This window comes from Homo sapiens, chromosome X (genome assembly GCF_000001405.40).
Source record: "Homo sapiens chromosome X, GRCh38.p14 Primary Assembly".
Classification (NCBI taxonomy): Eukaryota; Metazoa; Chordata; class Mammalia; order Primates; family Hominidae; genus Homo; species Homo sapiens.
The window spans coordinates 130211860-130236061 of record NC_000023.11 but is presented as its reverse complement, the minus strand read 5'-3'; the positions used below and the strand labels follow the sequence as shown (position 1 = coordinate 130236061).

Here is a 24202-nt window from a genome sequence, read left to right as displayed (position 1 = left end):
TCACAATGATTATATAAGATTTTAAAATCCTTTCCAATGATGAAATTTTTAAAATAAAGTTATGGATAGAACTGGAAGCCATTATGTTAAGTGAAATAAGCCAAGCATAGAAAGACAAATGGACGTTGTCACTCATATGTGAGAGCTAAAAAAGTTGATCTCATAGAGGTAGAGAGTAGAACAATAGTTGCCAGAGGCTGGGAAGGGTATGTGTGGAGGGGTAGGAGAAGAGGAAGAGAGGTTGGTTATTATGCACAAATATACAGTTAGATAGAAGGAATAAGTTGTAATGTTTGGTGCAAAGTAGAGTGAAAAATAGCTAGGAGAGAGCACTTAGAATATTGCCAACGCAGAGACATGGTAAATACTCGAGGTAATGGATACCTCAGACATCCTGATTTGATCATTACATATTCTGTGCACTTAAAATATCACATGTACCCCATAATAATTTATAAACATTATGTATCAATTTAAATTTTTTAATTAAGTTCATATGCAGTACAGTGTATGCATATTGTATTTTATTTTTATTTATTTATTTATTTGAGACAGAGTCTTGCTCTGTCACCCAGGCCGGAGTACAGTGGCACAATCTTGGCTCCCTGCAACATTTGCCTCTCCAGTTCAGGCGATTCTCCTGCCTCAGCCTCCCGCGTAGCTGGGATTACACGTAGCACCACCATGCCTGGCTAATTTTTGTATTTTTAGTAGAGACGGGGTTTTGCCATGTTGGCCAGACTGGTCTCGAACTCCTGGCATCAAGTGGATCCACTGGCCTCAGCCTCACAAAGTGCCGGGATTACAGGTGTGAGCCACTGCGCCTGGCCTGCATTTTAATTTTAAATGAAAATAATGTACAAATTGCAATATTTTATTGACTAAATTATGACATTCTTCAAACTTCCTGTAAAGCAGGTGTTTTATTAGGTGCTTAATCTTTTGTGTAAAGTGAAAGCTCCTTTTGTTTACCTTATTTTTTGCCCATGGTGACATATCCATGTCGCATTACCCTGTGAAAACCTTATTTTTGCCCGTGGTGACTTAATGCATGTCACATTACCCTATGAAAACCTTAGTCTTACATTTTAATTTTCAACACTCAGAAATAAACTTCTAATGATGGAGCATTTCATATGAAATGATAGTTTTAACTCAATCCATAATATAGTTTATATAGTTATAAATGAATTCTAGCTTTCTATTAATATAGGAAGCTCTTTGAAATTAGGTTTTAGGTAATTTTCACAGTACTAATAGAGTATGGGATTAAGGTAACACGCCACTTAAAATATTTTAGTAGATATTACAGTATTCTGTTATGTGTGTATAAAGATAGTCTGTATTCTCTTTGCATGCCCAGTGTAAATGACAGGAAGGGGCAAAGGAGGCAAGAAAAAAGTCAGTGTTGATTATATGTGGGAAATAAGTGATGAGACGAGTGCAAAGCAAAGAAGCAACTTAGGAAAAGGAATTGTTCACTATTTCAAAGATTGGCAAATTTTTATTAAAATTCAGCATTTTACAAAAAAGGAATTCTAAAATTGCAAATACAAACGTCTTTACTCTGACGCAAAACTGTATTAGAGTCTTTGGCTGTTTTCACCTCCCTGAGTGTGTTTGGGAAAGGGGAATCCAAGTCTCACATTACCACTGTTTCCCTTGATATCTTCCAATTCTGTTTCATGGTGTTGCTCTTTAGGACATAGATGTATCCATCTCTTACGATTCATTGTGGGTGCACCCTTTAGCATTTTTATAGTGTCCTTTTTGTCTGTTCAGTGCTTTTTGTTTGATATCAGGCTCACAACCCTTGCTTTCTTATTGTTTCCACCTGCCTGTTATATTCTTTGCTTATCCTTTTACTTTCAACCCTCCCAAATCACTTTGTTTTTGTTCTTTCTTGCTTTCACCAGAGTTTTTTCTTTTGTGATCCTATATGAAAACTTCTTTTCTTTTAGAAGTTGAGTTAAACCCATGTATATTCATTGGTAGGAGAAATTTAACTGGTCTGATAGGTTTAATTGGTCTTAGTTTTGTCACAATGCTTTGTTATGCTTTCTTTGTCCTTTTTTTTTTAAAAAAAGTCTTTCACTTTGTGATTTTAGGAAAGTTTTTCTTTTGTTTTCCACCCTTGTTTTAGTGTGTAGTCTTGTCTTTATTTAACGCTTTATTTAGTATTTATTTAGTATGTAGTCTTGTCTTTATTTAACACTTTATTGAGGTATGATTGACCTATAAAAATCTGTATTTAATGTATACAGCTTGATGAGTTTGGAGCTAAGTATACATCCATGAAAACATTACAATTTGTGTCATAAACATAACCATCACCTTCAAAAGTTTCCTCCTACCCTCTTTATTATTATTACCTTTTTGTGATATGAACACAATAGAAAATCTATGCTTTTAGCAAATCTTTTTTTTTTTTTTTTTTTTGAGACAGAGTTTCACTCTTGTTGCCCAGGCTAGAGTGCAATGGTGTAATCTCGGCTGACCACAACCGCAACCTCCACCTCCCGGGTTCAAGCAATTCTCCTGCCTCAGCTTTCTGAGTAACCGGGATTACAGGCATGCACCACCACACCCAGCTAATTTCGTATTTTTAGTAGAGATGGGGTTTCTCCATGTTGGTCAGGCTGGTCTCGAACTCCCAACCTCAGGTGATCCGCCCACCTTGGCCTCCCAAAGTGCTGGGATTACAGGCGTGAGCCACTGCACCTGGCCAAATTTTTTTAAGTATGTAATACAGTATTGTTAACTATATATGCACTATTCTATATAGTAGATCTCTAGGACTTATTCATCTTGAATAACTGAACCTACATACCTTTTGACTAATACCTTCCCATTTTCCCCTCCCTCTAGCCCCTGGCAATCACAATTCTACTCTCTGCATCTATGAGTTTGACTATTTTAGATTCCTCATATAACAGAAATCATGTAATATTTGTCTGTCTGTGACTGTCTTATTTTCTTTAGCATGTTTTCCAAATCCATACATGTTGGTGCAAATAAGATTTCTTTCTGTTTTTATGGCTGAATAATATTTCATTTGTGTGTGTGTGTGTATATATATATACCACATCCTCCTCATCCATTTGTATATTAATAGACATTTAGATTGCTTTCATGTCTTGGCTATTATGAATAACCCTGCAATGAAGTCTACCTACATGGGAGTACAGATGTCTCATTGGGATTCCGATTTCAATTCCTTTGGGCATATATACAGAAGTAGGATTACTGGATCATATGGTAGTTCTATTTTTAACTTTTTGAGAAACCTCCCATGTCTTCCATAGCGACTGCACCAATAACATTCCCATCAGCAGTGTAAAATGGTTCCCGTTTTTCCACATTCTTATCAACACTTATCTTTTGTCTTTTTGATATAGCTGTTCTAATAGGTGTAAAGTGATAGCTCATTGTAGTTTTGGTTTGCATTTTCCTAATGGTTAGCAATGTTGAGCACCTTTGCACATATGTGTTGGCTACTCATAAGTCGTCTTTTGTCTATTCAATTCCTTGTGCCCATTTTTAAATTAGTGTATTTGGTTTTTTGCTATTGAGTTGTAGGAATTTCTCATATATTTTGGATTTTAACCCTTTCTCAGATAGTTTCTCCTATTTTTTTATCCAGTTATTCTTAGAGAATTCTTCTAGAGAAATTCTACAACTGTAAAATATATACAATAAATAAATTAGTTTCATCTCATTGGATAAAAAAGGCTTATATATGAAAGTATTCCAATTAGGATCAGTTTATATGATGTCTTGATTTTATTCATGAGGTAGATTTCCCCTTCAGATATTTAGGCATTCTAGATAGAATATGTTGAGATATTCAAAATGTAACTGATGCTTTTTTGTGTCCCACACATTTTCTAGCATGGTAAGTCTGGAGAATGGCAGGTTAGCTGTGCTCAAAGTCTAGTTCCAACCAGGCTTCACTTAAATATTACTGTGTTATTTGATAATCAAGCTTATACATAATGGCATGTAAAACTACCTTTTAAGCTTTTTTTTTTTTTTGAGACGGAGTCTTGCTCTGTCACCCGGGCTGGAGTGCAGTGGCGCGACCTCAGCTCACTTCAACCTCCGCCTTACGGGTTCAAGCAATTCTTCTGCCTCAGCCTCCTGAGTAGCTGGGACTACAGACACGTGCCACCACGCCCGGCTAATTTTTTTGTATTTTTAATAGAGACGGGGTTTCACCATATTGGCCAGGCTGGTCTCGAACTCCTGACCTCGTGATCCGCCTGCCTCAGCCTCCCAAAGTGCTGGGATTATAGGCATGAGCCACCACACCCAGCCTAAGCTATTTTTTTTTTAATTATTGTAGATTCAGGGGTACATGTGCAAGTTTGTTAACAAGGGTATATTGCATGATGCTGAGGTTTGGACTTCTACTGATCCTGTCACCCAAATAGTGAACATAGTACCCAATAGGAAGTTTTTCAGCCCCTGCCTTCCTCCCTCCCTCCCAACTTTTGGAGACCTCAGTGTAGTTTCCATCTTTATGTCTGTGTATACCCAATGTTTAGCTTCCACTTACAAGCTTCCACTTATAAGTGAGAACATAAGATATTTAGTTTTTTGTTTCTGTGTTAATTCATTTAGGATAATCGCCTCCAGCTGCATCCATGTTGCTGCAAAGGACGTTATTTCATTCTTTTTTATGGCTGTGTAGTATTCCATAGTGTATGTGTACCACATTTTCTTTATCCAGTCCACTGTTGATGGGCACCTAGGTTGATTCCATGTCTTCGCTATTGTGAATAGTGCTGCAATGAACATACAAGTGTAGGTGTCTTTTTGGTAGAACGATTAATTTTCCAGTGAGTATATACCCAGTGATGAGATTGCTGGGTCAAATGGTAGTTCCATTTTTAGTTCTTTGAGAATCTCCAAACTGTTTCTACAGTGGCTCAACTAATTTACATTCCTACCAGTGGTGTATAAGCATGTAAGCTGTATCTTGACACAGATATGAAATGGGTGATTTTGGGCCAAGAAAAATATTATTATTAAATATTTACATCTAAAAAGAAAAATTGCAAGGAAAAAATATTAGATACATAAACATCCCCTGATCTTAAGGTTTTCAATATTGTTTTTGAAGTTATTCCTTTATTAAGATAGTAGGTGTTTATTGTTTGAATTTTTTTAGAATATGTAAAAATGGAAGCCACAATTTTGGTCAGTATCTTTCTAGATACATTGCCAAGCGTAGTTTTATATCATCTGACCTTAGATGTAAACACAATCATTTTTTGGTATCTAATCTTTAAAAGAGCTGTAGACAAGGCTCATATTTTTTTCCTCTTTCAGCATTGTTGTCCAGACATGATAACTAAATTTTTGGGAGTAATTGTTAAATCAGAACGTCCATGTGATGAAGACAAGACTGATTCAGAGACAGGAAAGTTGATCATGTTAGTCAATGAGTTTTATTATGGAAGGCATGAAGGAGTCACTGAGAAAGAGCCAAAGACTTACACAACCTTTAAATGCTTCAGTTGCTCGAAAGTTCTTAAAAATAATATTAGGTATGTAAATATTTATTTTTATTTCTGTTTGAAAGTTGGGATATGACAGATAAGAATATAGTATCTTTACATTGCTCTGCCATCCTCGGTAATTAATTCTAATACTTTCTACTAAGAACAGTGGCAGATTATCATGTTGAAAAGCTTTTGTTCCTTCTTGTATTTTAAGAGTTTGACTCCAGGATCCACCTAGTTGTTTTGTTTTCAGATAGCTTAAGAAAAGACAAAATGTATTTTAATTTAGGGGAAAACTACTTATTTTCCCTACATTTATTACTGAACTAGACGGTTTCATGAAAAACTTATATTTTCTAGCTGACTTTGAATCTTACTTTTCTTCATGTCACAAGAAGAACCCTATGCAGCATGACCTCCTCCATACTAACCTTATTTAAAGCTCAAATTTTTCCATTTTAAAATAAATTGCAGGCGTTTACCAAAACCAAAGAGAAGTGTTTTGGAGGTGTGAAAAAAGATAAAAACCCAAACCTTCACAATGATTGCTATGTAGGTTGATGACATTATCACTTTGTTTCAAGATTATTTTCTTTAGTGATTCATAATAATTGTAAGTAGTTGACCCAGTCTTAAAACTGTTGTTTACATTGAATAACTTTACTTTGAAATTCAGCAAAAAGTTTTAGTAAGCCCTTTGAAAATGGTATGTCCATTTATATTGTACTCTCTGCCATTGAACATCATAGTTCCTTCTCTTCAGAAGCCTTTCAGAGAAGCTAAAATAGCAGAAGGTAAAACTGAAAAATAGACAGTGCTACAAAGGGCACAGCCTGCTAAGAAAAATGAATAGTTTGTGCTAACAGTAAGCCAGTATAATTAGATAAAACAAAAGGTTCTTGTAATTATAGTCATTAAAATTGCTATTGCATGCATTTAGAAACCAAGACACAAATAAAAATATACCAGCAGTTTGTCTTTTGAGCAGCTGAAACCTTCAGAGCTTTCAAAGATTTGTCTCTTCACTGTAGCTGCTTTTGGTGGTAGAGTTTCCATCCTTTCAGTATTTTATTTTAAAATGTAAATAGTATTTCATGTATGGAAAAGAAGCCTGCTATTTTTCTTTGCTAAAAAAAATTTTAAATCTAAAATAATGATATAGTGTTACAGCAAATTAGTGATGTTTCATACTACTACATTAATGGATTATTTTAGAAACAAAGATAAAAAAACCTTACTGAGCCACTTAATGAAAGTAAATTATTTAAAGTACACACTTTATAGAGTGCTTTCAGGCCTTGGAGATGTTATTTTGAGTCATAGAATTACATTTTAAAAATTTATTTTCAGAGACTTATTTGTGAGGTTTTTCTTTGGTTATAAGTCTGAATTTTTGCTCTTACTGGCAAATTGTTTGTAGGTTTATGAACCACATGAAACATCACTTGGAACTTGAGAAGCAGAACAATGAAAGCTGGGAAAACCACACCACCTGCCAGCACTGTTACCGGCAATATCCCACACCCTTCCAACTGCAGTGCCACATTGAGAGTACACACACTCCCCATGAGTTTTCTAGTAAGTGAAAGTTTCTTTGGAATCCTGAATATTGTTGACTTTGATCATCCGAACTGTGAGGAAACCTTAAAAATTCTGGCAGAAAAAAATAAGAAGTAGACTTTGTAATATGAGGGCAAAATTGAAAAAAAAAATCATAACTTTTATAAACCTAGATGAAATGTGTTCTAAAGCCAGGTGTGATGGTGCATGCCTATACACCCAGCTACTGAGGAGGCTGAGGCAGGAGGATCACTTGAGCCCATGAGTTCAGTACTATAGAATGCTATGATCAATTGCACCTGTGAATAGCCACTGCACTCCAGCCTGGGCAACATAGTAAGACCCTGCCTCTACAAAAAAAAAAAAAAAAAAAAAAAGTAGAAGAAAAAAACTGTTAAAATTGAAGTCCCTTGGTCGGGCGCAGTGGCTCATTCCTGTAATCCCAGCACTCTGGGAAGCCGAGGTGGGTTGATCACCTGAGGTCGGGAGTTAGAGACCAGCCTGACTAACATGGAGAAACCCCATCTGTACTAAAAATACAAAATTAGCCAGGCAAGGTGGCGCACGCCTGTAATCCCAGCTACTTGGGAGACTGAGGCAGGAGAATCACTTGAACCCAGGAGGCAGAGGTTGCGGTGAGCCGAGATGGCACCATTGCACTCCAGCCTGGGCAACAAGAGCGAGACTCCATCTCAAAAAAATAAAATAAAATAAAATAATTGAAATCTTTCTTATAAACAATTCATTAGTGGAAACTTCCTTGGCACATGCATTGGTGTAGGGGACTAAATTAGAACACCCAGATTCCATGGTTTTCAAATTTGAAGTTAATTGTCTTGATTTACACTTTAGACAAAAGTTAACTACAATGTTAAGATTTAGAGTCTGAGACGCGGACAAATTTGGTTCAGATTCCAACTTTGCCTCTTACTACAGCTGTGAGATCTCAAGCAAGTTTCTTAATTTTTCTGTGCTTCTGGTTCCTCATCTGAAAAATAGGAATAAAAATAACAGTACCTTCCTCAGTGATGTTACGAGAATTAAATAAGCTAATATATCCTTGGAACAGCATTACAGAGTCAACAGCTATAGAATTGTTAGAACCACATCACTGTTACTTCTACTATTATTATTACTTGTTGTGGATGTACAAAATGAATCTTTTTTTATATACATCCTTAAATGGTATAATGTGTTTTTTTCCACTTTCAGCTATTTGCAAAATCTGTGAATTATCATTTGAAACAGAGCATATTCTTTTACAACATATGAAGGACACCCATAAACCTGGTGAAATGCCATATGTTTGCCAGGTACACACACATTTTATTGTGTAGTTAAGTGTTTGTTTAATTTTCATGTGCCATGAAATAGTATTGTTCTTTTGATTTTTTAAAGCCATTTAAATAAAATTAGTTACTATGCTAAAATTGAAGACCCTCTTCATTAGTGGAAACCCCCTTGGGTTTAACTCATGCATTGTAAGTAAAGGGGTGGAGTAGATTTTGCCTGTGGGTTGTAGTTTGCTGACCTCTGTGCTAGATGAGGAAATGCCCTACTAGAGAAAGACAAATGTGTGGGTTATCATATAGGGAAAATTATAGATATGCTAGAGAAATAGGAAAATCTCTTAGTTATAGAATACCAAATTAAATGCTTTGGGATCAGTGTTCCAGAATTTGAAGTGGCTTCCAGTAACGAGGAATTGAGATGAAGATAAATTGACACTGGCATAGCATGGATGCTATTTAAAATCTAAAGAAGAGAATACTCTGTTTTATATAGCAGGAAAAGCTTTTTAGAACAATATTTGGCAGAGGTTGAAAATTCACATCAAGATAGGGGGTGGTAGATTTGAAAAGAAGAAGAGAGTCTTACTGTGTTTTGGAATATATGCCTAAACTTTGAAAGATATCTTTCAAAGGTTATCTTTATTACTTGCAGTAATATGATTCTTGGTTGTATAGGCAGCAGAGCTGGACTAGTAGTACATGTTCTTCCAAACAGATGACCCGTTATTGCTACTTTGATTGTAATTGCAAGAAGTTATAAAATATCAAGTTAAACTAAGCCTTCTTTATATTTCTAGGTTTGCCAGTTTAGATCATCAACATTTTCTGATGTAGAAGCTCATTTTAGAGCAGCCCATGAAAACACTAAGAACTTGCTATGTCCATTTTGCCTCAAAGTTAGTAAAATGGCAACCCCCTACATGAATCATTACATGAAGCATCAGGTGAGATTAAGCAGTTCTTATTTGTTCATGTTGTCTTAGTGAAAAGATATAGATCTATATGTATAGATCTATAGCTACATCTATATCTATCTATAACGTAGAACATTGGTTAGATTTGTTCTGGACAGAAAGCAAAGTTGTTCTGAATGACACAATTAATTTATAATTTATGCTGAATAACTTGTGAAACTTTCACTTATTTTCCTTGCTTGCTTTCTGGTGACACTGAGAATCATAAATAGTCAAAGTTCTGAAAGATAGCTAGAAATAGGAACCCCAAAGTGGAGGAAAAAACAGAAGATTCATGAAATATTTAGGTTAGATATTTCAGGACCTAAGGGTGGTGGGACTGGGAATGACTTTGAAGGTGCTTATCAAGAGCAGGAAAAAGAATAAGTTTGAATGGAGGAACATAAGATTAAGGACTCATAACCTTGTATTTTCCTCTTTCTCTTGAAATCTTATTTCTACTTTCTAGCCCACTTTTTATTATGAGACATGTGGTTGTCATCAGTGACCCAGAATTGACTTTTGTAGCAGCCAGTAACAAAGGAAACAGCAAGAACACTTATGACCAGATATGTGAACTATACTAGAGAACTATATTTAGGTTATAACTTACTTACTTTGTGACTTTTGCCAGTTCTGCTATATAATTTCTGGGATACCAGTATTGATGCTTGCATCTTTCCCTTGAATTCTGATTTTATGCTTACTGATTCTTTTCCTCAATTAGAGCATCCTGTGGGCTGAAAACTTTGATGAAACAGTGGGCCTATTCTTGAGTGTTTGAAACAGCAATAGTGCCTTTGCCAAAATCAGAAGTCAACGGATTTACTAAGTCTGGTCATGTAATCAAGTTTTGCCTCCTCACTGATCAGCTCATTACATTTTCGTAGTATTGATTGCATTGTCTCGGCAAGTTGATTCAGTACTGGCACTAACGTCGCCCTTGAATGTAGTCATTGGATGATCATGAAATCAACTTATAGTTGTTAATTGGAAAAAAAGTCATAAAAATAGAATTTCCAAACACATTCAGATTACCTGTGTTATGACTTGGATGGTATCAGTGTCTTTTTTTTTTTTTTTTATCCTGGTAGGCCATCTCACCCTTAAAAACTTTGGCAAAATCTTTCTAGGGTTTCCACCAACAGTGTTCACTCAGATGTTAATAAGTGTTCCCCTCTTAACTTGTTCCTGGTAAAAGAAATTTAGTGAATGGCTGGATTTACAAAATTCATAGAGGTGTTTTTTGTTTATTTTTAACAACAAGACTTTTCAGAGCTTTTAATATGCTAATACTGTAAATCTCTAAGCAAGGGACATAGTGTGTAATAGTCCTCAAACATTTTTAACCTTTGAGCCCTTTATTTGCACAATACCTATTAACATTTCTTGAGGTATAGAGTTTGGGAAACACTATTCTTGGTGGTCTGTATTTCATTTTTTGGCCTTCAATTTTGAAAAGAAGAATGGAACATAAAGCAGTATCTCTGACTGTCTAATTATGGGTTTTTTAACATAATTCTTTCCCCTGTGCTTTACTAAGCTCCAGAGTGATATAGATGTAGATTTGAAGGGAGTGATAACATGCTTAGAAAGGTAAGAAAGACATAATGAACCCACTTTGTGAGCTGTGTCTTATAAGTGGTTTATCTGATCTGTAGTCATTCTTCATATCCTAAGTTGTATGCCTTAACTTGCTGTATGTATTGGAAAGAGTTACCCAACAGGTCTGAGTTGCTCAAATATTGCACAATTTCAGAAGTGCCTGCTTGTATAACTGGCCCTTGGCTAAATCTTGGAAATTGAGCTTCTAAAATGTTCTCTATGTTATTAACTGATAAGAGTGGTTTACATGCCTGGAACCTTGAGCCATGTTGTACCAGTTAGTCAAGAAAATTCGCACAAAAAAATACGGTTATGGTGACCACCTGCTTTTCTTGCAGTGGGAGGAGTCGTCTGAAAATTTGGTGGCTTACCTCCATAAAAAACCTAAGCTCTTAGACTCAAGAGAGCTTTCCCATCAAGCAACACTTTATACGTGTTGCTGCAGTTCATTGCTGAGGGATTTTATACATGTTGCTGCAGTTCATTGCTGAGGGATTAAGTGTGTCCTATGTGACTCCATTGGAATAGAGCTCTTAGAAGTTGGCGCCTGGTAATCCTCTAGAAGCTATCCAGTACACCATTTTCCTTTATTAATCCTGCTCTGTACCCTTACACTGTAATAAAACATAGCTGTGAGTATAACACTAAGTCCTATCGATCCTTCTGCTGAATCATCACATCTGGGAGTAGTCTGAGGGACCACTGAGGTGCCACAGGTGCTGTCTTAGTCTGTTTGAGCTACTATAACATGCTATTATACCATTGACTGGGAAGCTTAAACAACAAGCACTTATTTCTCTCTGTTATGGAGGCTGTAAAGTCCAAGATCAGGGCACCAGTGGTTCAGTGTCTGGTGAGGACCTGCTTCCTTGTTCATAGATGGCCATATTCTCACTGTGTCTTCACATGGGGGAAGGGGTGGAGAGGGCTCTCTAGGGTCCCTTTTATAAGGACACTAATCCCATTTATGACAGCTCCACCATCATAATCTAATTAGTTTCCGAAGGCTCCACCTCCCAATACTATTACATTGAAAATTAGGATTTCGCCATATGAATTGGGGGGCGGAGGGGACACAGGCATTCAGTCCATTTCAGGTGCTGAATTTTTTTGTTAAGTTTGGAGTACCTGAAGAGTAAACAGTCAGCAGTGAAGAGGTAAGATTCTATTGATAAGAAGGATCATCAGGCTTCTCTGAAGGTATTTGCAGTTTGCATAATTATTCACAAAAGACTCAAAAACCTGAGCTGACCAATATTATAAGCTTATAATTTAGATGGCATTAGTGCAATTTTATGTAATAAGAATTATTGACTCTATGGTTTATTTTATTCTTTTTGAAAACTTTGATTGCAACTTTTTCCTAAAAATAATATATTATTATGTCTTGAGTGATTTTGGAGTTAGCAATGCAGTTTATACATTTTTTAACAAAGGACGAAAGACTCCACATGTGTTAAATATCCTCATTAGCTCTTTAATAACAACAATAAGCAGTTAACATATAATAATCACTTACCATTTGACAGCCACTGGTGCTTTTACATGCATTATCTTGTTTAATCTTCACAGCCACCCTATGAGGCAGGTATATGATTGTTTTCATTTTATAGATGAGGAAACAAAGCTTTATAGAAAGTAATTTGCCCAGTGTCACATTCCCTAACAAATGGCAGAGCCCAAAATTGATTTATAGCCCAAGCTTCCACCGCAGACTCATATTCCACATTGACATTAGGTCTAAAGGCAGAAATTACAGATAGTTACCCTTGAAAATCCCTCAAATTGGCCAGGTGCAGTGGCTCATGCCTGTAATCCCAGCACTTTGGGAGGCCAAGGCAGGCGGATCACCTGAGGCCAGGAGTTTGAGACTAGCCTGGCCAACATGGTGAAACCCTGTCTCTACTAAAAATAAAAAAAATTAGCTGGGTGTGGTGGTGCATGCCTGTAATCCCAGCTACTCGTAGGCTGAGGGGGGAGAATCACATGAACCCGGGAGGCAGAGGTTGCAGTGAGCCAAGATCATGCCACTCCAGCCTGGGAGACAGAGCAAGACTCCGTCTCAAAAGAAAAAAAAATTCCTCATATAACCCAAAAACCATATAGTATGCATGTCAAGAAGTTCAACACTTAACTTTTTCTCTACCCTTGGAACAAGTTACTGTTTCTTTGGTTAAACATTATTTTAAAAATGTATTAGTTGGGCACAGTGGCTCATGCCTGTAATCCCAGCTCTTTGGGAGACCGAGGAGGGTGGATCACTGGAGGTCAGGAGTTCGAGACCAGCCCTGCCCCATCTCTAAAAATACAAAATTAGCCAGGTGTGGTGGCAGGTGCCTGTAATCCCAGCTAGTTGGGAGGCTGAGGCAGGAGAACTGCTTGAACCCAGGAGACGGAGGTTGCAGTGAGCCGAGGTTGTGCCATTGCACTCCAGCCTGGGCAACAAAAGCAAAACTGTATCTCAAAAAACAAAAAAAAGTATCATCTGTGATCATTAGCACAATGCAAGCATACATACATAAGAGGGATATCCAGGACTTGAGTCCAACTAAGGGAATAGTAGATTAATGTCTCCCATCTTGGGGCTCTGGACAAGTAAATACTCATTGAATGAAATGGCAGACACTTTGAACTAGTTAAATTGTGCCTGCTGCTCATTTGTACTCTGTCAGTCTCTTGCCTCACTTTATTTCTTTATTTAAGAAATATTTGAGTGCCTAATATATGCCAAGGACTGTTTTAGGTACTGGGGATACAGAAGTAAGCAAAGCAAGGTTTGTACTCACTGAAATAATGCATCATGGTAGAGAAGGGTGTGTGTGTGTGTGTGTGTGTGTGTGTGTGTGTGTGTGTGTGTGTGTGTGTGTGGTGTCTGAATGTATATGTATGCCAGCTGATGGTAAGTACCATGGGAAGAAAATATAGGTAGATAGAGAGTGCCAGGGCTCAGGTGAAGGAGTGGTTTCTGTTTTTTAAATGGTGTGGTCAAAGAGGGCTTCTCCAAAGGGAATAAGAGAGTAAGTCATGTGGCTTACTCATCTGGGAGAGAATGTTCCAGGTAGAGGGAACAATAGGTAGGCAGTGAAGTGAACATATACCTAGGATATTCAAGGAAGAGCAAGGAGACCAGTGTGGCTGGAGCACAGTAAACAAGTGAGAGGAAAAGTAGTAGGAGATGAAATTGTAGCAAGAGAATGTAAGCCAGATCATTTGAGGACTTGTAAGCCAGAGTCAGAATTCTGGAGTGTTACGGAAAGCCATTTGGAGGGTTTAACCATGTGAAAGATCTGTAACATTTTAAGATCACTCTGACAGCTATGGGAAGAACAGACTAGGAGAAAGGATGGAAATAGGGAGAAGATAGGAGGCTCTTGCAAGAGTCCGCGTAAGTGGCTCAGACAAGTATAGTAGCAGTGATTGGAGGTGATGAGAAATTGAAAGATTATAAATTTTTTTTTAAGGTATCACTGACAGGTTTTATTAATTTGTTGAATGTGGGATGTAAGAGAAAGAGAAGAGTTAAGAGTGACCAAGTGTTTTTTGTCCTGAGCAGCTGCAAGAATTTAGATCCCATATACTGAGATATTGGGAAGAGTAGGGAAGGAACAGATTTTGTGCCCTTCCCCACTCGGGATGAATGAGAGGGAATCTAGAGTTCAACTTTTTGTCCATGTTGATTTGAAATACCTATTAGACATCAAGAGATGTCAAGTAGGCGGTGGGTGGATGCTATTTAAAGCCATGAAACTGAATGAGGTATAGGTATAGGTAGAGAAAAAAATTGTGGGAACTGTACTCTGCGGGAACATTCTATCCATCATCTTAATTTGCTGTCTATTACTTAGCTGAGATTTTCTTCTTTCCCCTTCTCTCTTGAGCACCTACAGGTAAATCTGTTTGTGTTTACTGTACCTATGGTATGATCCAGTACACCACACTTCTAAAATAGTCTGAAGATCAAACTAAAATAGTAATGCAAACACCTTATCTTTATATATTGCTTTGAACTTTGTAAAGAGCTTTTATTTAGCAAATGCTTTTTATGCACCAGTAACTACTAGATACTTTCATACATGTTACCTCGTTTGGTTTTCCTAAAAGATTGTTTGTGTTTTATATGCAAATGATGAGCTGGTGGAGATACATCTTTAAAGAAAGCTTTCTTTTGTATTTGTATGTTGTTCTAAATTTATAATAAATATAAAATATATTTTAATTAATAAGAACATATGCATAAAGATGGCAATTGTATAGTAGACAGAACACTAACCAGCTATGGGCAAGTGCAAATTTCTCTTGGGTCCCATTTCCCATTGGTAAAATAATAATGGGGCTAGGTTTGAGGAGGGATTTAGTCAAGGGTTTCTCAAACAATAGATTGGGATCCACTCGTATTTATGCCTCTATAATCAGTATAGAACTTTTCCAATTAAAATCTAATTATATACTTTTTATGTTTGATCCTTATATGGTAACTAATGCTTTTGAAACTCAAATACTAACACAAGGAGTACTTTTAAATAATAGATCACTTTGAATTGTCTGTGGTGGGAGATGGTAAAATTCTGGTTGTAAATTTATTTAGATTTTAGAATTAAGAGCAATTTCAGCTCCTAGGATTTGTGGTGGTGGAAGTTATTATATCTAATATTTTCTGTAAACAGAAAAAAGGAGTTCATCGTTGCCCAAAATGCAGACTACAATTTTTGACCAGCAAGGAGAAAGCTGAACATAAGGCGCAGCATCGTACATTTATAAAGCCTAAAGAACTAGAAGGATTGCCTCCTGGAGCAAAAGTGAGTTTGTGAGGGAGTTTTTGGTGGTTTTTTGCACATTCTATTAATTTTTTTATGTTTTTTTTTTTATTATGGATAGAAGGAATAAGATCTAGTGTTAGAAAGCTCACTAGGGCAACTATATTAACAATAATTTATTGTGTATTTCAAAATAACTAAAAGAGTGGAATTGGAATGTCCCTAACACAAATAAATGATAAATACTTGAGGTGATGGATACCCGTTACCCTGATTTGATCATTATGTATTGTATGCTTGTATCAAAATATCCCATGCACCCCAAAAGTGAGTTTTAAATATGCTGTATTTTTAACATTTTGTATGATAATAGAAACAAACTACTGCCTGGTTTTATCTATTGAATATAATATTAAAATTGACCTCTGATTGTTATTAAGACTTTAATTTTAGGTTTTATCATTCTTATGCTTGTAAAGAAAAACTTCTAACCATTGTTTTTTTTAGTTGATTGATGTGGTTTGTTGGAGGGATATTTCTAGTGCAACTAGATTGTAGACTAAGTTGGCAGGTCGTTTCAATGTTCTGTAGGCTGTTTTTGAGCTATTCCAGTTGTCAGTGTGTATGTCTTTTTCAGTTGCTAGACTATAAGATATTTAAGATCAGGAATTATATTTAATTTATCTTTGTGTCCCCAGCATCTGTCACAGTGCCTTGAATGCCATAGGTTTGTTGAAGTTAGTATTACTAATCTACTCTCAGAGAAGCAAGTTTTGCTCCTGGATAGCATAGCATTGCTGTTTTTCATGAGCAAGCACACATCAGACTACAAATTTCTTTCTCCTTCTTTGCCTTATATACATATGTTTTCGCTGACTTTTTTTTTTTTTTTTTTTTTTTTTTTGAGACAGAGTCTCACTCTATCCCTCAGGCTGGAGTGCAGTGGCGCGATCTCAGCTTACTGCAGCCTCCGCCTCCCGGGTTCAAGTGATTCTCGTGCCTCAGTCTCCCAAGTAGTTGGGATTACAAGCATGCAGCATGATGTCCAGCTAATTGTTTGTATTTTTAATAGAGACTGGGTTTCGCCAACATGGCCAGGCTGGTCTCAAACTCCTGGCCTCAAGTGATCTGCCCGCCTCGGCCTCCCAGAGTGTGGGGTTACAGGCATGAGCCACCACGCCTGGCCCTCTGACTTCTTTACATAAAGTTAGCTCTTGAATATTTTCTCCAGTAAAGAGATAGATAATCCAAGGTGAGATAATCCCTAAACATTTGTATTTCACTTTGAGTACATGCTTTTGAATGCGAGTATGTCTGCTATTTAAATTAACAAAATTAATATAAAACAATTATCTGAATATCTAGCATAAGATAAACCATCTGGCATCCTTCCCTGCAATCCATTTGTTCCATGTTGGTATTAGACATGCAGAATATTAATGTAGGCAGTACAATCCTCTCTCACATCTTCCCTTATTAATAAGATACCAATAGTAATGATAATATTGATAATAATGATACTATATGTCTTATAGCACTTTAGAATTAAGTGTTCGGTGTGCCTTTCCATACATTTTATTATTTAACCTATGTGGTGATCCAGTGATATAGACAAGGCAAGTATTATCCCCATATTAGAGATGAAGAGGCTCAGAGAGGCTAAATTCCTTACTCAAGGTCATGTAGCTAGGAAGAGGTAGTACTAAGATTCTTAAACTCAGGTCTTTTGACTTCTACTCTAGTGCTTTCAAAACATGTATTTTCTTTTTGCAAGCTAACAAGTTCTGCTTCAGTGCTTTTCTATACCACATATATTTCATAGGACTTCATAGAAGCTGTTCTTCAAGTACATGGGGGGAGTGTAATCAAATGATTAAAGAAAATGTTAGTGGATGACTTTTCTATTATTAACCAATAGATACAAACATTTTCTTTTTCCAAATAGTAAATGATAAATTTTATATGTTACCATTAAGGAAATTCTGAGCATTATTATAACCACCATGCTGTGTGATGAATTGATATAAGCTCACCATAACCTTGGAAGCAGAAATCATGCCCCCTGATCCCCCAGGAAGAGGTCACATTTACTGAAAATCTGTTTTATAGTTACCAGAGGGTAATGCAGGCCTTTCCAGAGTTATTATTTCAGACCTCTATATTACATTTTGACCTCTCTATTTGTGAAAGCCTTTTAGTTAGTTGGGTTTTTTTGTTTGTTTGTTTTTGAGACGGGGGTCTCACTCTGTCACCCAGGTTGGAGTGTAGTGGTGCCATCTTAGCTTACTGCAACCTCTGCCTCCGAGGCTCAAGCGATCCTCCCACCTCAGCCTCCCAAGTAGCTGGGACCACAGGCGGATGTCACCATGCCCAGCTAATTTTATTGCATTTTTGGTAGAGATGAGTTGCCCAGGCTGGTCTCAAACTCCTGAGCTCAGGCAGTCCACCCACCTTGGCCTCCCAAAGTGCTGGGGTTACAGGCATGAGCCACCACACCCAGCCCTTTTTAATTCTATCAAAGCATAAAATAGCTATGGAATGTGCTCTTTTGATATTTATCTAATTTTTACTCCTAATTATTCGTTAATATCTGTTAACATACAACTGTTATCAATATAAAACTAATATTACAACAGTAAGTAAATATCAAGATAAATTTCATTTAATCAGTATGACCATTTAGAATAAGTAGAAGGCTTATCTGATTGTAGTTTATACTTGCCATTTTCAAAATAATGATTTTAACTTTTTGTATTGCAGTGGTTTTTTGGTAACAGTGTTATTGAGATATAATTCATATATCACACAATTTACCCATTTACAGTGTACACAGTTCAGTGGTTTTTAGTATATTCAGATTTGGGCAAACATCACTACAATAAATTTTAAAACATTTTTATCACCCTCAAAAGAAACCTCATACCCTTTAGCATTCACTATTTCCCCTCCATTAGACCTGTGCAAACTTTAGTCTGCTTTTAGTGTCTATGGATTTTCCTATTCTGGACGTTTCATATAAATTGAGTCATACAATATGCCATCTTTAGGGACTGGTTTCTTTCGCTTAGCATAATGTTTTGTAGGTTCATTGATATTGTACCATGTTTCAGTACTTCATTCTTTTTTGTGGCTGAGTAATACTCCACTGTATAGATATTCTACATTTTATCCTTTCATCTATTGGTGGGCATATGGGTTGTTTCCTCTTTTTGGCTATAATGGTGCTGTAAAAATTCATGTACAGGTTTTTGTGTGAACGTATGTTTTCATTTCTCATGGGTATATACCTCTGAGTAGAATGGCTGAGTCAAATGGTAACTCTTACCTTTAATATTTTAAGAAACTGCCAAACTGTTTTTCTTTTTTTGTTCTTTTGTTTTGTTTTGTTTTTGAGACGGAGTCTTGCCGTGTTGCCCAGGCTGGAGTGCAGTGGTGCGATCTTGGCACACTGCAACCTCCGCCTCCTGGGTTCAAGCAATTTTCCTGCCTCAGCCTCCCGAGTAGCTGGGATTACAGGTACCTGCCACCATGCCTGGCTAATTTTTTGTATTTTTAAAAGAAATGGAGTTTCACCATGTTGGCCAGGCTGGTCTCAAACTCCTTACCTCAAGTGATCCGCCCACCTCGGCCTCCCAAAGTTCAGGGAGTACAGGCCTAAGCCACCACACCCAGCCTGCCAAACTGTTTTTCATTGTAACTACACTGTTGTGCATTCCCACCAGCAATGTATGAGGGTTCGCATTTCTCTATGTCCTAGCCAATACTTGTTATTGTCTGTTTATTATAGCCATTCTGGTTGGTGAAGGGACATCTCATTTGGGATTTCATTTGCATTTCCCTGGTGACTAATGACGTGGACCATCTCTTTGTGTGCTTATTGGCCGTTTGTATATCTTCTTTGAAGAAATGCCTATTCATCTATTTTCTCTTTGGTTGCTTGTGCTTTTGGTGTCATATATAAGAAACCGTTGCCTAACTCATGCTCACAAGAATTTACTACTGTATTTTCTTCTAAGAGTTTTATAGTTTTACCTTTTAGAATTTGGTCTTTAATACATTTTGAGATAATTTTTGTATATAATATGAGGTAAGGGTTCAAATTCATTCTTTTGCACATGGATATCAGTTTTTGTAGCAGCATTCATCAAGACTATTTTTTGCCCCATTGGAAATGTTTTGGGACCCTTGCCAGTTTACCGTAAATGTGATATTTACGGCTTACAATGATATTTTTAATACTAATGCGATGGTTACTTTTCTAAAAATATGTATTGGCTTTGTTTTTATAGGTTACTATTCGAGCTTCACTTGGACCTCTCCAGTCAAAATTACCAACTGCACCTTTCGGTTGCGCTCCAGGCACTTCTTTTCTTCAGGTCACACCTCCGACATCTCAAAATACAACTGCTAGAAATCCTAGAAAATCTAATGCCAGTAGATCTAAGACAAGTAAGCTTCATGCAACTACATCCACTGCAAGTAAAGTTAATACAAGTAAGCCAAGGGGACGTATAGCTAAGTCCAAAGCAAAACCCTCTTACAAGCAAAAGCGACAGCGCAACAGAAAAAATAAAATGAGCCTTGCTTTGAAGAACATAAGGTAATATCTTTTATTCCTGATATACAATACAAATTTAATCTTATGTATATAATTTATCATATCATAAAACCCTCTTACACATTTACATGATAATCACTTATCTGGCATAAAGACCAAGCAAATGAGAAAAAGGTACTTTTTACAACTGCTGAGCAGAACTTGAGTCATTGTGTTTATTCTCTAATTTTCATCTTTTACACTAAACTTATATTTTGTGCTTTTATCTTATGATAGATTAATTGGTTTATTTGATCCCTTTTATTCCAGGGAAATGTTAACTGGTGTTAAATTTTTTACACTTACTCTAGCTTGTTTCAAAGCAAATTTTGAAATTATGAGTCTACTTAAAGATACCAATTTAAACATTTTGGCTTCAGTTAATAAAATGTTAATAAGATTTTCCCCTGTTATTTTTGTTTTATAATCTCTTTTTATCTTTTTTTTCCGTCTCCATAAGGTGTCGTCGGGGAATTCACAAGTGCATTGAATGTCATTCCAAAATAAAAGATTTTGCAAGCCACTTTTCTATATACATCCACTGCAGTTTTTGCAAGTACAATACTAACTGTAACAAAGCCTTTGTAAATCATATGATGAGGTAAGTTAAACATGTAAACTGCCAATCAGAATTTCCATTTGGGTCATTTGTTTTTTGAAAACAGAGTTATCCTATTGAAAGCAAGTTTGTCTCATCAAGGAACTAAAAGGGTCTAGCAATAGGGAACTTCTAAGATGTTCCTTGTACTATTTTCCAGCATAGTAACTCATAAAATTACTGGGACAAAAACTCTGAGAACAATTAGACTAATGAAATTAAAATGAGTTTGTTAGGGAAATTTGTTTTTTCTATGGGACTTTTTTTTCTTTTATGTCTTTCAAAAAGTGGTTATTTTTTAACATAAAATGTTAAGTGTTTTCAATATATTTATCAAATAAATATGATCAGCTCTTGCATTCCACATCTGTGGATTCAACCAACTGTAGATAAAAGTGTTTTTAAAAAATTAGGTCTTTACTGAACATGTGCAAACCTTTTTCCCATTATTCTCTAAACAATACAGTATAAAACTATGTAATAGCAGTTACATTGTATTAGGTATCATAGGTTCACAAATCTAGAGATGATTTAAAGTATACAGCAGGATATGTATAGTTTATGTGCAAGTACTATGCCATTTTATATCAGAGACTTGAGTCTCTGCAGATTTGGATACCTGCAGGAGGTCCTAGAACCAATCCCCCATGGATACAGGGACCCCTGTATATGTAATTTCCTGAGTGTTATCCTCTTCACAGCGATCACTTTGAGAGGTTCCAGGCTTTTTAATGATGCTAAGAACATTATCCTGTCTCTGTCTCCCGCATCTGTCTGTCCATTTGTCTTTATGATCATCCATCTTTGCATTCATTCAATGAAACATAAGAGACTGTAGGAATATTCCAGTCATGATGCTACCGTTAGAATTCCTTTTCATGCATTGATTCAACTTAATTTGAGCACCTATGGTCTACTCTACACAAGGGAAAGACTTCAGAGCCCCCCTTACTTTCATTTGAACCTCATTCACAGGGGCTTGCTTTATTCCTTCAGATTGGATTTTATTTTAAATAACCAAAAAGTTTCCAGATATAAGTTCATTATTCTAATTAAGATAGTTCCATTTATTTTCAGTTAGAAATAAGATACAACTAGCCAGGCACAATGGCTCATGCCTGTGATCCCAACACTTTAAGAGGCCAAGGAGGGAGGATTGCTTGAGCCTAGGAGTTCAAGACCAGCCTGGGCAACATAGCAAGACCTCATTTCTATTTTTTAAAAAAGAAATAGGTATAACCAATAAAAGTTGTTTTCTTGCAGATTATAACAAGACCTCTATATTATTTTCTGCTCATAATCAGCTACCACTTTGAAGGATTCACCCACGTTTTTTGATGGCTTCAGCACCTGGCTTGCAGGGATTTTTTTCCCTTTGGTGGTCAGCCTGACCTTATGATACCTTTACTTCTTTAGTGCTAGCACTTTACATCCCTTTCTGCTTTGTTGTATCCCCTTTCTTAACACCATCCCATTTTACCTCATTGTAGACAATACTTATTTTGAATTCTCATTACCCCATGACTTTCAGAGTCTTGACCCCTTTTTCTAGTCCAGTAGTATCAATTCAATTTTGTAGCCAACCATGCCCTCAAGGTCTTCTGTTTTGAATGCTGCTTTGTTTCTGTCCTAAAATCCTTTATATCTTCAGGCATGCTTAGTCTTGCTATCTTTGCATCTTTTATCCTTTTTGATGTATCCCTATGCTCAGTTCTAGACTACCACACCATGCTTGATTCAATCAGCTCTGAATTCATGATCTTTAATTTGGTCCTGCCCTTTTAAAAATACCGCTTTGTTTTTGTTTCGTTTTGTTTTGTTTTGAGATGGAGTCTTGCTCTGTCACCCAGGCTGGAGTGCAGTGGCATGATCTCGGCTCACTGCAAGCTCCGCCTCCCGGGTTCATGCCATTCTGCTGCCTCAGCCTCCCCAGCAGCTGGGACTACAGGCACACGCCACCACGCCCGGCTAATTTTTATTTTTATTTTTATTTTTTTTGTATCTGTAGTAGAGACGGGGTTTCACCATGTTAGCCAGGATGGTCTCGATCTCCTGACCTCATGATCCGCCCGCCTCGGCCTCCCAAAGTTCTGGGATTACAGGCGTGAGCCACCACGCCCGGCCAAAAATACCACTTTGTTTTTATCTACAACATCTGTCAGATTTTATTCTAGTCCCTCAGTTGTTAACCTTGCCTAATAATTACTCAGAGGTCATACTTTTCGTTTTTCTCAAGATTAACTTTTTCCTGTCTCAAGGTTTTTTTTCCTTCAGACATTAATCTCAAAAAACAGACATGTCCCACTTTTTTTAAGTTAACCCTGTTCGTCATCTCTTGCATTTCCTCCACACCCTTATTTCATTATTTTGGACCTTCAGTTCATCTCTTTCTCTCTACCACATTCATTGTGTCTGTAGATATTTTCAGGCTTGTTTTTAGGATGAGGAAGATCTGCCTTTACTTTGCATGCTTTCTTGTTCCTCCATTTACCATCAACATTTATAAAGAGTATTCTTTACTAGCCTGTTTGTCATTTTTTGACTCTTTGTGATTTGAGTGTCACCCCCCCACCCCCCAACGCCACCTACATACAGCTAAAGCTTCTCCTTTAAAGGTTATCAGTCATATCCTAACTACTGGATGTACTCATTATTTTTCATTCTTACTCCTCTATGACTTCTTCAGAGTATTTGACATTTTTGATCACTTACTTTTGGAACTCTTCTCAACTTCTGTCTGTTAAACTGTTACCACCATTTTTCTTCTTTCCTTTTGGCTGCTACTCCTCTATGTAATTATCTTTTCTCCCTTCAACTGTTCTTGTCCCCTTATAATCCCTTTCTTGGTACCTTAACCATTCTTAAAGTTTTATCTTTTACCTTTCAACTGTAAATCCTCTAGATTTCAAAGCCGAGTTTCCCTGAGACCCAACTGTTTGTTTCTAACTAGGATTCAAACCACTTTTACTTCAATACCCTTTAAGCTCAGTCTGTTTCAGGGCATCATTTGCATAAACATGAAGCACCAGCTAGAAATAATTTACTATCCCAAGTTTCTGAAGCCCATGGAGTTCTCTTGATCTGCCACTATACATCCTAGCTTCCGGAGAGTCCACCTTTTGCAGTTTACCAGTCTGCCTCTTCCACTACTACAGTGGTTCTGCACCTATACCCCAGTTTCTCTAAAGCAGACCCTAGCCAACCCTTCCCCCAGTACACTGCTGTGATTAATATTGTTCTCTTATTCTGTGCTAAACACTTGGCTGCCCTAGTGAGGCTTTAATTCTGCCACTAATTTATAGAGGATTAAATTGGAAAATATTTTTGGCATTACTT

At 36.8% G+C, this 24202-nt stretch overlaps 1 protein-coding gene across 2 annotated transcripts in view; it reads left to right on the top strand.

Annotated features, from left to right (window-relative positions):
- ZNF280C (zinc finger protein 280C) overlaps window positions 1–24202 on the top strand; it is a 66193-nt gene that overhangs the window by 32838 nt on the left and 9153 nt on the right. The window contains exons 9-15 of one of the 2 annotated variants that reach the window (NM_017666.5): window positions 5335–5552; window positions 6928–7085; window positions 8280–8380; window positions 9157–9303; window positions 15582–15713; window positions 19961–20271; window positions 20729–20869. In NM_017666.5, the coding sequence (NP_060136.1) occupies window positions 5335–5552; window positions 6928–7085; window positions 8280–8380; window positions 9157–9303; window positions 15582–15713; window positions 19961–20271; window positions 20729–20869 (1208 nt within the window). The remainder of the gene's footprint in view (window positions 1–5334; window positions 5553–6927; window positions 7086–8279; window positions 8381–9156; window positions 9304–15581; window positions 15714–19960; window positions 20272–20728; window positions 20870–24202) is intronic. The other variant, XM_006724765.4, reaches the window with a different exon arrangement.